The sequence below is a fragment of the Homo sapiens genome, chromosome 22 (assembly GCF_000001405.40).
Source record: "Homo sapiens chromosome 22, GRCh38.p14 Primary Assembly".
Lineage (NCBI taxonomy): Eukaryota > Metazoa > Chordata > Mammalia > Primates > Hominidae > Homo > Homo sapiens.
In genome coordinates this window covers 41,638,264-41,651,059 of record NC_000022.11, presented here as the reverse complement: position 1 = coordinate 41,651,059, position 12,796 = coordinate 41,638,264, and the positions used below count along the sequence as shown (strand labels likewise).

At 44.3% G+C, this 12,796-nt stretch overlaps 1 protein-coding gene across 5 annotated transcripts in view; it reads right to left on the bottom strand.

Annotated features, from left to right (window-relative positions):
* XRCC6 (X-ray repair cross complementing 6) overlaps positions 1-12,796 on the bottom strand; it is a 42,747-nt gene that overhangs the window by 12,982 nt on the left and 16,969 nt on the right. For all 5 annotated transcript variants that reach the window (NM_001288976.2, XM_047441304.1, NM_001469.5 and 2 more), the window contains 2 exons: positions 3,978-4,164; positions 169-337 (listed from right to left, as the gene is read on the bottom strand). In NM_001288976.2, coding sequence (NP_001275905.1) covers positions 169-337; positions 3,978-4,164 — 356 coding nt within the window. The remainder of the gene's footprint in view (positions 1-168; positions 338-3,977; positions 4,165-12,796) is intronic.

Below are 12,796 nucleotides of genomic sequence, written 5' to 3'. Positions count from 1 at the left end.
TGCTAGGATTACAGGTGTGAGCCACTGCACCAGGCAGAGCTTGAAACACTTTCAACATACTCCATTAACATTTCCTGTACAGTGTCCAAGCAGTGCCCATTTACAAAGCGCTGCTCCGTAAACTGCACTGTGTGTTAGAGTCACTCATCCATGGTCCACGCTACTTACCAATCACCAGCGACTCCTCTGGGTACACGAACAGGGAGGGCCTCAGGTAATGGTGTTTCTTCAGCAGTACCAACGGCTTGAAACCCATGAGCATCAAACCTGGATCATCAAACCGTTTTAGCTCTTCTGTTTCCTCTTTCTCCAGTATAATCTGACGACTCCCATAGATCTGAAGGAGAAGAACGACAAGGATCAAATGGGAAGGCTACGAGGAGATGCAAAATAACTCGAAGATGATGACACTAGCAAGTTAAAATCAGCTCTCTTCTAAGGAGCAGGAAGATGGCTCACCTGGGGCATCCTCCTTCTCCAACAGGGAATTAACATTTATTGAGTGACTGCAGGTACTTTACACCAACTACTTTATCTTCTGTAACAATCCCAAGAGGTAGATGTTCAAACTGTTTTAGAGTGGGACTGTGCTTATGAATAGCCACTGCACTCCAACCTGGGCAACACAGTGAGATCCTCTTTGCAAAAACAATAAAATAGGCTAGGTGCAGTGCCTCATGCCTGTAATCCCAGCACTTTGAGAGCTGAGGCAAGACTGCTTGAGCCCAGGAGTTCAAGACCAGCCTGGACAACATGGCAAGACCCTATCTGTATAAAAAAATTAAAAATTAGCTCGGTATAGTGGTACACACCTGTGGTCCCAGCTACTTGGGAGGCTGAGACTGGAGGATCGCTTGAGCCCAGGAGTTCGAGGATGCAGTGTGCCAAGATGGCGCCACTGCACTGCAACCTGGGTACCAGAGCAACTCTATCCCCCCAACACAAAAAAAGAAAAAAAAAAATGTACTGACCTGTCAGCACCATCCCTGACACACAAAGCATGCTTAAACCATATCTATTTATTATTATTTATTATTTGAGATGCAGTCTGTCACACTGTCACTGGCGTGCAGTGGCGCAATCTCGACTCACGGCAACCTCCCAGGTTCAAGTGATTCTCCTGCATCAGCCTCCTGACTAGCTGGGATTACAGGTGTGAGCCACTGTGCCCAGCCCAAACCATATCTATTTATTTATTTATTTATTATTATTTTTTTTTTTGAGACAGTCTCGCTGTCACCCAGGCAGCGATCTCGGCTCACTGCAGGCTCCACCCACCGGGGTTCACGCCATTCTCCTGCCTCAGCCCCACGAGTAGCTGGGACTATAGGTGCCCGCCACCACACCTGGCTAATTTTTTTGTATTTTTAGTAGAGATGGGGTTTCACTGTGTTAGCCGGGATGGTCTCGATCTCCTGACCTCGTGATCCGCCCGCCTCAGCCTCCCAAAGTGCTGGGATTACAGGCGTGAGCCACCGCACCCGGCCACCACATCTATTTATTAAATGAGAGGACCTATGTCAGGTACTGTGCTAGGTCTCAATGTGGAAGGCAGAGACACACACATATAAGTACTACTTCCAAGGCAGGGCACGTTGACTCATGCCTGTAATCCCAATACTTTGTGAGGCCAAGGCAGCTGGATCGTTTGAGCCCAGGAATTCGAGACCAGCCTGGGTAACATAGTGAGATCCTGTCTCTATGAAAAAAAAAAAAATACAAAAAATTAGCCAGGCGTGGTGGCATGAGCCTGTAGTCCCAGCTACCCAGGTGGCTGAGGTGGGAGGATCAACTGAACCCAAGAGGTTGAAGCTACAGTCAACCATGATGGCGCTACTGCAAAGATTATTTGTATTGTTTGGAGAGAGATATATATATACACACACACATACATACATATATATATATATATATATATATTTTTTTTTTTTTTGTACTCTCTTCCCCAGGCTGTGCACCACCACGCCTGGCTAATTTTTAGTTTTTTAGTAGAGACAGGGTCTCGCTATGATGCCCAGGCTGATCTCAAACTCCTGGGTTCAAGTGATCCTCCTTCAGCCTCCAAAAGTGCATGAGCCACCATACCCAATGATGTTTGTATTTTATCCTGGATATGTGACTAATAACAGCTTAGTAGCAGATTCAAATTTGGGTTTTATGAACAAAAGAACTCTCAAGGTTTTTTCAAACATACTGGACCAAGAAAGAAACTCAGTGACCAGAGAGCTTACTGCCTATGAATAAATCAATATAAAAAATTAGTTACTTCCAAAATGGAAAAGAAAATTCCTTATCTTTTTCTCCTTCAAAGAGTAGGGCAAAACTCTCTGGCTTGAATCAAAATAATATTTTAGTCATCCTTATAGGCCCTAAACTTATGTAAAATCTCAGATTCTTCCACATTTTGCATACAGGAAGCATGACTCATTCAATTTTAATTTTTGATGTTAAATCCCTCTATAGACTGAGCAAAGGTAAGAGGATGAGAAAAGACAATGTTCTGCGTCCTGCATCTGTCTTTCAGATGCAGAAAGGGAGATGTATGTCATCCCAAGGCACAGGAAAAATATCACTAGCAAAAATAAATTCTCTCCCTAAAAAAAATGAGTTCACTTCACACTTCATACTTTTCCTAACTCCTTATCTCCCTAATTAACTATAAAGTATTTTCTGCTATTGTACCTGAGCAAGACTGTTAGACTGACAGCAGCATGTACTGAGTGATGAAGGGGTGAGGTTTTCACTGACATCTCTTTCAGACACTGGCCCAGTTTAACTTTCTAGCTATCAAAATATCACTGATCCAGATACCACAGTCCCAAAGAGTTAAGTCTTTGTGGTTTAACAGGTTAGCAAGAAAGGTGCACATGGCTCGTCCAAGTGCGGTGGTGTTTACAACTAATTGATCACAACCAGTTACAGATTTCTTTGTTCCTTTTCCATTCCCACTGCTTCACTTGACTAGCGGAAAGAAAAGAAACAGAAGAGAGGAGGGGAGAGGAGGGGAGGGGAGGGGAGGGGAGGGGAGGGGAGGGGAGGGAGTCGGAGAGAGAAAAAAGAAAAGGAAAGGGAAGGAGAAGGAAAGGAAAGATGCACATATGAAAGTTATTTAACTGGTCAGCCTGATCAATGTCTCTCCTCCTAGTTAACTCTTCAGTTGGAGAAAATTCAGTAAGAAAGCATCTTGGGTTAGGTGTGGTGGTTCACACCTATAATCCCAGCACTTTAGGAGGCTGAAGCAGGAGTACTGCTTGAGCCTAGGAGTTCGAGGCCAGCCTGAGCAACATAGTGAGACCTCATCTCTATTAAACAAAACAAAACAAAACGAAACAAAAAAACGCTGGGCACAGTGGCCAATGTCTGTAATCCCAGCACCCCAGCACTTCGGGAAGCCAAAGCAGGAGGATTACTTAAGACCAGGAGTTTGACACCAGCCCAGGCAACATAGCGAGACACCGTCTCTTTTTTTTTTTTTTTTGAGACGGAGTTACGCTTTTGTTGCCCAGGCTGGAGCGCAATGGCGTGATCTCGGCTCACCGCAACCTCTGCCTCCCGGGTTCAAGTGATTCTCCTGCCTCAGCCTCCTGAGTAGCTGGGATTACAGGCATGCACCACCATGCCCAGCTCATTTTGTATTTTTAGTAGAGATGGGGTTTCTCCATGTTGGTCAGGCTGGTCTTGAACTCCTGACCTCGGTAATCCACCTGCCTCGGCCTCCCAAAGTGCTGGGATTACAGGCATGAGCCACTGTGCCCAGTCGATCCAGTCTCTTAAAAAATAAATAAATAAATAAATTAGCTGGGTGTGATGTCACATGCCTGTGATCCCAGCTACTTGGGAGGCTGAGACAGAAGGATCGCTTGAGTCCAGGAGGTCAAGGCTGTAGCGAGTCATGTTCGCCCCACTGCACTCCAGCCTGGGCGACACAATGAGACCCTGTCTCAAAAACAACAACAACAAAAGGCATCTCTACCTACCTGAGACCTCTTGGTATCGCTAGGCAGAAGCAAACCGCCTGTACTTGTATTAAAGGTCCGGGTCTTGGTTTTCACTGGTTCATTTGTTTCCCGATAGAGCTTTATTGGAGGAGGCTTGAGAGCCTTCTGGACCAGATTATAAATGCCCACAGAGATCACTATATCTTTGTTGAGCTTCAGCTTTAACCTGAGGGAGTAAAAAATGAAAGAGCATGAACTGAAAAACTGCACTTTTCTATCTAAAATTCCCTCATAACACCAAAGCTTCACTGTTTTATTCTCTCCAATAATCCTAAGCAAGCTCTCAAAATATAAATATGCTTTTTAATAATACAATCGAATTTGCTATACCACCTCAGAATCTGTACCACAATATATTAACTACTTAAAACAATGATAAAGAACGTACTACAGGTTGCGTATCCCTTTGCAAAATGCTTGCTTAGGACCAGAAATGTTTCAGATTTCAGATTTTTTTTGGAATATTTGCATTTTATAGTACTTACTGGTTGAATATTCCCAACCCAAAAATCTAACAACCCATAATGCTCCAATAAGCACTTCCTTTGAACATTAGGTCGGTGCTCAAAAAAGTTTCAGACTGTAGAGCATTTCTAATTTTGGATTTTCAGATTAGAAACACTCAACCCGTATAATAAAATGATAGTTTGTATTAAGCACAGCACTATATCAATCACCTCACAGCTATTCTCTCATTTAATCATCATAATAACCCTGTAAGTACTGTACTAGTTGTCTTGTCTCTGCTTTTTTTTTTTCGAGACAGAGTCTCACACTATTGGTTGGGCTGGAGTGCAGTCGCGTGATCTCGGCTCACTGCAACCTCCACCTCCCGGGTTCAAGCGATTCTCCTGCCTCAGCTTCCCAAGTGGCTGGGATTACAGGCACCTGCCACGACACCCAGCTAATTTCTTTTTATTTTAGTAGAGACGGTGTTTCACCATGTTGGCCAGGCTGGTCTTGAACTCCTGACCTCGTGATTCACCCGCACTGGCCTCCCAAAGTGCTGGGATTACAGGTGTGAGCTACCATGTTTGGCCTTGTCTCTGTTTTTCTAGGATCCCTTCCTCCTGCTTTGAAGAATAAAGACCCATCATGCCGGGTGCGGTGGCTTAGGCCTGTAATCCTAGGTCAGGAGCTCGAGACCAGCTTGGCCAACATGGTGAAACCCCATCCCTACTAAAAATACAAAAATTAGCCAGGCATGGTGGCGCACGCACAGTCTATAATCCCAGCTACTCGGGAGGCTGAGGCAGGAGAATCGCTTGAACCAGGGAGTTGGAGGTTGCAGTGAGCCAAGATCGTGCCACCGCACTCCAGCCTAGCGACAGAGCGAGACTCTATCTCAAAAAAAAAAAAAAAAGAAGAAAGAATAAAGCCCCATCAAAATAAGGGTTACTTAACAAAACAAAACAAAAAAACACCCCAATTTTTCTTTGGGAATTACCCTTCCCCGACTACAGTTTTGGGAGAATGTTAGTCAAACTCAAGTTGCTGTGCCTTCTTCTGGCCAAGTGGTGGGCATATCTGACCCTGGAGAAGGCCATAGGACGTTCTCATCTGAGAGTCGGGGTCTCTGAGCAGTGGCCATGAAAGGATGTGATTCCAGAGGATACTTTCTTCTCATAATGGCACCCTAAAGACACTGTCATTAGTTCCTGCTACGTAGATTCCTAGAACTAATTATTTGACTCATACGCTGAAATTAGTCAAGGTCAGCCTTTTTTGTTTGTTTTTTTTTGTTTTTTGTTTTTTTTTTTTAAAGATGGAGTTTCGCTCTTGTTGCCCAGGCTGGAGTGCAATGGCACGATCTCCACACTGCAACCTCCACCTCCCGGGTTCAAGTGATTCTCCTGCCTCAGCCTCCCGAGTAGCTGGGATTACAGGCACCCACCACCACACCAGGCTAATTTTGTATTTTTTAGTAGAGACAGGCTTTCTCCATATTGGTCAGGCTGGTCTCAAACTCCTGACCTCAGGTGATCCGCCCGCCTCGGCCTCCCAAAGTGCTGGGATTACAGGTGTGAGCCACAGCCCCCAGCTCAAGGTCAGTTTTTATTGCTTGCCACTCAAGAACCTTATTATTGACCTTCTATAAGTGAGGGCTCAGAGAAGTTACATGACTTGCCCAAGGACACACAATAAAAATCCATATTCAAACTCAAGTATCCCTGTTTCAAAGCTCATGTACTTTTCCATCATGACATATTACTCCAGAGCACTTATACCAACAGCTTAAGCAGCAACAGGACCTCTTGAAAATGTGTTCTGCAGGCCGGGTGCAGTGGCTCATGCCTGTAATCCTAGCACTTTGGGAGGCTGAGGCGGGCGGATTGCCTGAGCTCAGGAGTTTGAGACCAGCCTGGGCAACACGGTGAAACCCCATCTCTACTAAAATACAAAAAAATATTAGCCAGGCGTGGCGGTGTGCATCTGCAGTCCCAGTTACTATGGAGGCTGAGGCAGGAGAATTGCTTGAACCCAGGAGGCAGAGGTTGCAGTGAGGCAAGATCGTGCCACTGCACTCCAGCCTGGGACGACAGACCAAGACTCCATCTCCAAAAAAAGAAAATGTGTTCTGCAATAATAACAATGTACACATATATTTACAATATGCAAAAAATTCTTATATTATGGGGGAAAAAAAGAACGTAAAATAACCCATGATACACATTCTTCTCAAGCACATAGAACATTCTCTAGGAGAGATCATATGTTGGGCCACAAAACAAGTCTCAGTACATGGAAAAAGGTTGAAATCCCATAAAGTATGTTCCTTAACCACAATGGAGCTAAGTTAGAGGTCCACAACAGAAAGAAATGTGGGAAAACCTGAAATTTTTGAAAATTAAACAATACACTTATAAAAAACCCAAGAAGAAATCACGAGGAAAACATTTTTCTTTTTTTTTTTGGAGACAGGGTCTTGCTCTGTCACCCAGGCTGGAGTGCAGTGGCGCCATCTCGGCTCACTGCAACCTCCGCCTCCCGGGTTCAAGAGATTCTCCTGCCTCAGCCTCCCAAGTAGCTGGGACTACAAGCACATGCCACTGCGCCCAGCTAATTTTTTTTTTTTTGAGATGGAGTCTCACTCTGTCGCCTAGGGTGGAGTGCAGTGGCGCAATCTCAGCTCACTGCAACCTCCGCCTCCCGGGTTCAAGAGATTCTCCTGCCTCAGCCTCCCAAGTAGCTGGGACTACAAGCACATGCCACTGCGCCCAGCTAATTTTTTTTTTTTTTTGAGATGGAGTCTCACTCTGTCGCCTAGGGTGGAGTGCAGTGGCGCAATCTCAGCTCACTGCAACCTCCGCCTCCCGAGTTCAAGTGATTCTCCTGCCTCAGCCTCCTGAGTAGCTGGGATTACAGGTGCCCACCACCACGCCCAGCTAATTTTTGTATTTTTAGTAGAGACGGTGCTTCGCCATGTTGGCCAGGCTGGTCTGGCACTACTGACCTCAGGTGATCCACCCGTCTCGGCCTCCCAAAGTGCTGGGATTACAGGCATGAGCCAGCGCGCCCGGCCAGAAAATTTAAAATTATTTTGAACTGCATGAAAGTAAAAACACAATATATCAAAATGTATACGATGCAGCTAAAGCCATGCTCAGAGACAAATTTACAGCTTTAACACTTTTTTGTTTTCTTTTGTTTTTGAGATGGAGTCTCGCTCTGTCGCCTAAGCTGGAGTGCAGTGGTGTGATCTCGGCTCACTGCAACCTCCGCCAACCGGGTTCAAGTGATTCTCCTGCCTCAGTCACCTGAGTAGCTGGGACTACAGGCGCCCACCACCAAGCCTGGCTAATTTTTGTATTTTTAGTAGAGACGGGGTTTCACCATGTTGGTGTGGCTGGTCTCGAACTCCTGACCTCATGATCCGCCCCCTTGGCCTCCCAAAGTGCTGGGATTACAGGCGTGAGCCACCGCACCCGGCCAGCTATAACACTTTTATCAGAAAAGAACAGTCTCCAATAACCAAATCTTCACTGTTGTGGAACACCTAGCAGTATTTAAAGAAAAGAACATGTTTAGACAAGTGTCTGTATAGTTCGAAGATATACAGGTTCACACCGTGGAGACAACACTGGTTTTGAGCAGAGCCACAAATAGAAATTTTGGTTCCTGGGGCAAGCACCTAATATACCTTCAGATCAACTTGGAAATGCATGATGTGACTCACAGATGAGTGTTGGTAACAGATGCATTACTAACAACATCAACCATTTGGTGGCTTCTTAGATGTGAAAATCAGTGTCTAAAGGCTGCTTGAAGGAGAGTTGACGATAAATGCAACCAATTACAAAACTGCACAATCTTCAAAAGTAACTATTTTTTTTTGTAGACAGGGTCTCACTCTATAGATTGCTACAGTAAGTTTAAATATTGTTAAAATGCCCAGACTACCCAAAGCAATCTACAGATTCAATGTAATCCCTATCAAAATACCAATGACATTCTTCACAGAAATAGACAAAACAATCCTAAAATGTATGTGGAACCACAAAATCATACCGGGAAATTCTCCAGCACATTGAGCTTGGCAAAGATTTCTTAAGTAATACTCCAGAAGCATAGGCAACCAAAGCAAAAACGGACAAATAGGATCACATCAAGTTAAAAAGCTTCTGCACAACAAAGGAAATGATCGACAAAGAGAAGAGAAAATATCTGGAAACTATCCATCTGACAAGGGATTAAGAACCAGAATATATAAGGAACCCAAACAACTCTACAGGAAAAAACTCTAACATAATCTGAGATATCATCTCACCTCAGTTAAAATGGTTGGAGGTTCCTGAAAATACTAAAAAGAAAACTACTGTATGATCCAGCAATCCCACTGCTAGGTATACACCCCAAAGAAAGGAAATCTGTATATCAGAGATATCTGCACTCCCATGTTTATTGCAGCCCTATTCACAACAGCCAAGATTTGGAAGCGACCTAAGTGTCCATCAAAAGAAGAATGGATAAAGAAAGTGTAGTACAATGGAGTACTATTCAGCCATAAAAAATGAGATCCTGAGGCAGGTGGATCACCTGAGGTCCAGAGTTCGAGACTAGCCTGGTCAACATGGTGAAACTGTGTCGCTACTAAAAATACAAAATTAGTCGGGCGTGGTGGTGCATGCCTGTAATCCTAGCTACTTGGGAGGCTGCAGGAGAACTGCTTGAATCCAGAAGGCAGAGGTTGCAGTGAGCCGAGATCGCGCCATTGCAGTCTAACCTGGGCAACAAGAGCAAGACTCAGGCTCAAAAAAAAAGGAGATCCTGTCATTGGTAACAACATAAATGTTGTTGCATTCACTATGCAATGTTGTTTCACTATGTTAAGTGAAATAAGCCAGGCACAGAAAGACAAACTTTGAATGTTCTTATTTCTGGGAGATAAAAAGTAAAGCAATTGAACTCATGGACACAGAAAAGGATGGTTACCAGAGGCTGTGAAGGGTAAGGGGGTAGTGATGGGGCAGTGGGGATGGTTAATGAGTACAAAAAATAGAAAGAATGAATAAGATCTAATACTTTAGAGCAGATCAGGGTGACTATAGTCAATAATAACAGTACATTTTAAAATAACTAAAGGAGTATAATCAGATTGCTTATAATACAAAGGATTAGTGCTTAAGGTGATAGATAACCCATCTATGCTGATGTAATTATTACGCATTGCATGCCTATACCAAAATATCTCATGGATCCTATAAGTATATACACCTACCATGTACCCACAAAAATTAAAAATTTTTTAAAAAGCGTAAGTTTAATATTTTTCTAGGCCTTAGCCCTAAGGCATTGTTAGTTCTCAATATCTCCAATTTATTATTATTTATATCAAGTATCCATCCTACAATGACTGTTCCACAAAATAAGAACAGCTAACATTTATAAATAATTACCACGGGCCAAGCACTATGCCTAGGTTATCTCATTTAATGCTCACGGCAATCCTATGTGAAAGTACAGTTTTTTAATTTTTTTAATAAAGAGAGACAGGGTCTCCCTGGGTTGCCCAGGCTGGTCTTGCTTCTGGACTCAAGCAATCCTCCTGCCTCGGCCTACTAACATGCTGGGATTACAGACGTGAGCCACTGCACCTACCCAAGGAGGTACCATTTTTTGCTCCCATTTTACTAAGGCTCAGAGAAGTCAGGTCGCATAGCAAAGGGACCAGGACTAGAATCCAAACAATCTGACAACAAGGCCTACATTTACCCACTATTCTATCCTCCCCATCCATCTCCACCAAAATGTGTAGTAGACTTCCAAACTGTAGTATAAACAACATCGCATCATTTCAAGACAGGTGAAGAGGTGACAAGATACTTGTCTGAGGAAAGAAAAATAGTTTCCAAGAGGAAAAGGAGAACAATGACAAAACTACAACTGTGGCAATGAGTGATTCAAGGTCTCCTCAAAAAAATTTCTTGGGTTTTCTGGTAGAATTGTCAGTAAACTCTTAAAAACTGCTTAAAAGTTACCAAAGGTCATGGACCCCTATACTGAGGAAACCACTCCAGAATGAAAGCTTGAGGAGGAACGTTTGAGGCCAGGAGTCTCAGACCAGCCTGGTTAACATACCAAGAGCCCCAAGTCTACAAAAAAAGCTACTTGGGGCAGGGTGTGGTGGCTCACGCCCTTAATCCCAGCACTTTGGGAGGCTGAGGCGGGTGGATCACAAGGTCAGGAGATCAAGACCATCCTAGCTAACACGGTGAAACCCCGTCTCTACTAAAAATACAAAAAAATCAGCTCGGCGTGGTGGCGGGTGCCTGTAGTCCCAGCTACTCGGGAGGCTGAGGCAGGAGAATGGCATGAACCCGGGAGGCGGAGCTTGTAGTGAGCTGAGATCACGCCACTGCACTCCAGCCTGGGCGACAGAGCAAGACTCTGTCTCAAAAAAAAGCTACTTGGGAGGCTGAGACAGGAAGACCACAGAAGACTGCCTGAGCCCAGGAGTTGTAGGCTGTGGTGCCATTGTACTCCAGCCTGGGCAAGAGTGAGACACCGTCTCTTAATAAATAAAAGGCTGTAGGTCTTTAGGAAGAAACAATGAGTAACCTTTAGGATTCTAATATCAAGGCTCTCTAAAAAAAACAGAATCTAGGCCGGACGCAGAGGCTCAAGCCTGTAATCCCAGCACTTTGGGAGGCCGAGGCGGGCGGATCACGAGGTCAGGAGATCGAGACCATCCTGGCTAACACGGTGAAACCGTCTCTACTAAAAATACAAAATTAGCCGGGTGTGGTGGCAGGCGCCTGTAGTCCCAGCTACTCAGGAGGCTGAGGCAGGAGAATGGCATGAACCCGGGAGGCGGAGCTTGCAGTGACCTGAGACCGCACCACTGCACTCCAGCCCGGCCAAAAGAGCAAGACTCCATCTCAAAAAAAAAAAAAGAGAGAGAATCTAGGCTACACATGGACACATGGTAGCTCACGCCTGTAATCCCAGCACATTGGGAGGCCTAAATGGGAGGATTTCTTGAGCCCAGGAGTTTGCAACCAGCCTGTGCAAAGCAGTGAGACCCCATCTCACAAAAAATAAAAATAAAAATAAAAAATAATCAGCAGAGCATGGTGGCACACGCCTGTGGTCCCAGTTACTCAGAACACTGATATGGGGCGATCACTGGAGCTCAGGAGGTCGAGGCTAAGGTGAGCTGTGATCATACTGCACTCTGGCCTGGGCAACAGGGTGAGACTTTGTCTCAAAAAAAAAAAAAAAAAAAAAAAAAGAAAAAGAATCTAGCAATCTGGTTCCCATTGGTCTCAGGTTTATAAGAAATCAGAATGACACAATTTTAACAATGATCATAACTAACATTTATGAGTTTTTGCTCCCTAACAGGCTCTGTTTTGTGCTCTTCACTAACTCTTCACAGTAACCTAATGAGGCAGGTATTGTTGTCACCAATTTACAGAGAAGAATAAAGCAAATAATGCACACTCATGCACCACTAACATTTTGGTCAACAATAGGGCGCACATACAATGATGGTCTGTTAAGATGATAATGAAGCTCAAAATTTCCTGTCACCTACTGACATCATAGCTGTCGTAAGTTTGTCGCACAAGGCATCACTCATGCATCTGTAGTGATGCTGTGTAAACAAACCTACTGTGCTGCCAGTTATATAAAAGTATGCAGTCATGTCCTAGGCCTTCACTTTCACTCACTACTCACTCAGAGCCACTTCTAGTCTTGTAAGTTCCATTCGTGGTAAGTGCCCTATGCAGGTATACCATTTATCTTTATACCATATTTCTTTTTTTTTTTTTTTTTTTTTTGAGGCGGAGTCTCACTTTGTCACCAGGCTGGAGTGCAGTGGCATGATCTTGGCTCACTGCCACCTCTGACTCCTGGGTTCAAGCGATTCTCAGCCTCCTGAGTAGCTGGGACTACAGGCGCGCGCCATCACGTCCAGCTAATTTTTGTATCTTTAGTAGAGAACAAGGTTTCACCATGTAGGCCAGGATGGTCTCAATCTCTTGAACTTGTGATCCACCCGCCTCGGCATCCCAAAGTGGTGGGATTACAAGGCGTGAGCCACCGTGTCTGGCCTATATCATATTTTTATTGTACCTTTTCTATACCTTTAGATACATTTAGATACACAAATACTTACCATTGCCTACAGTAAACAGTATGGTAATATGCTATACAGGTTTGTAGCCTAAGAGCAACAGGCTAACCACACAGCCCAGGTGTGTAGTCAAGCTGTACTCTCTGGGTGTGTGAAGTACCCTCTATGTTTGCACAATGACAAAATCGCCTAATGACGCAATTCTAAGAAGGTATCC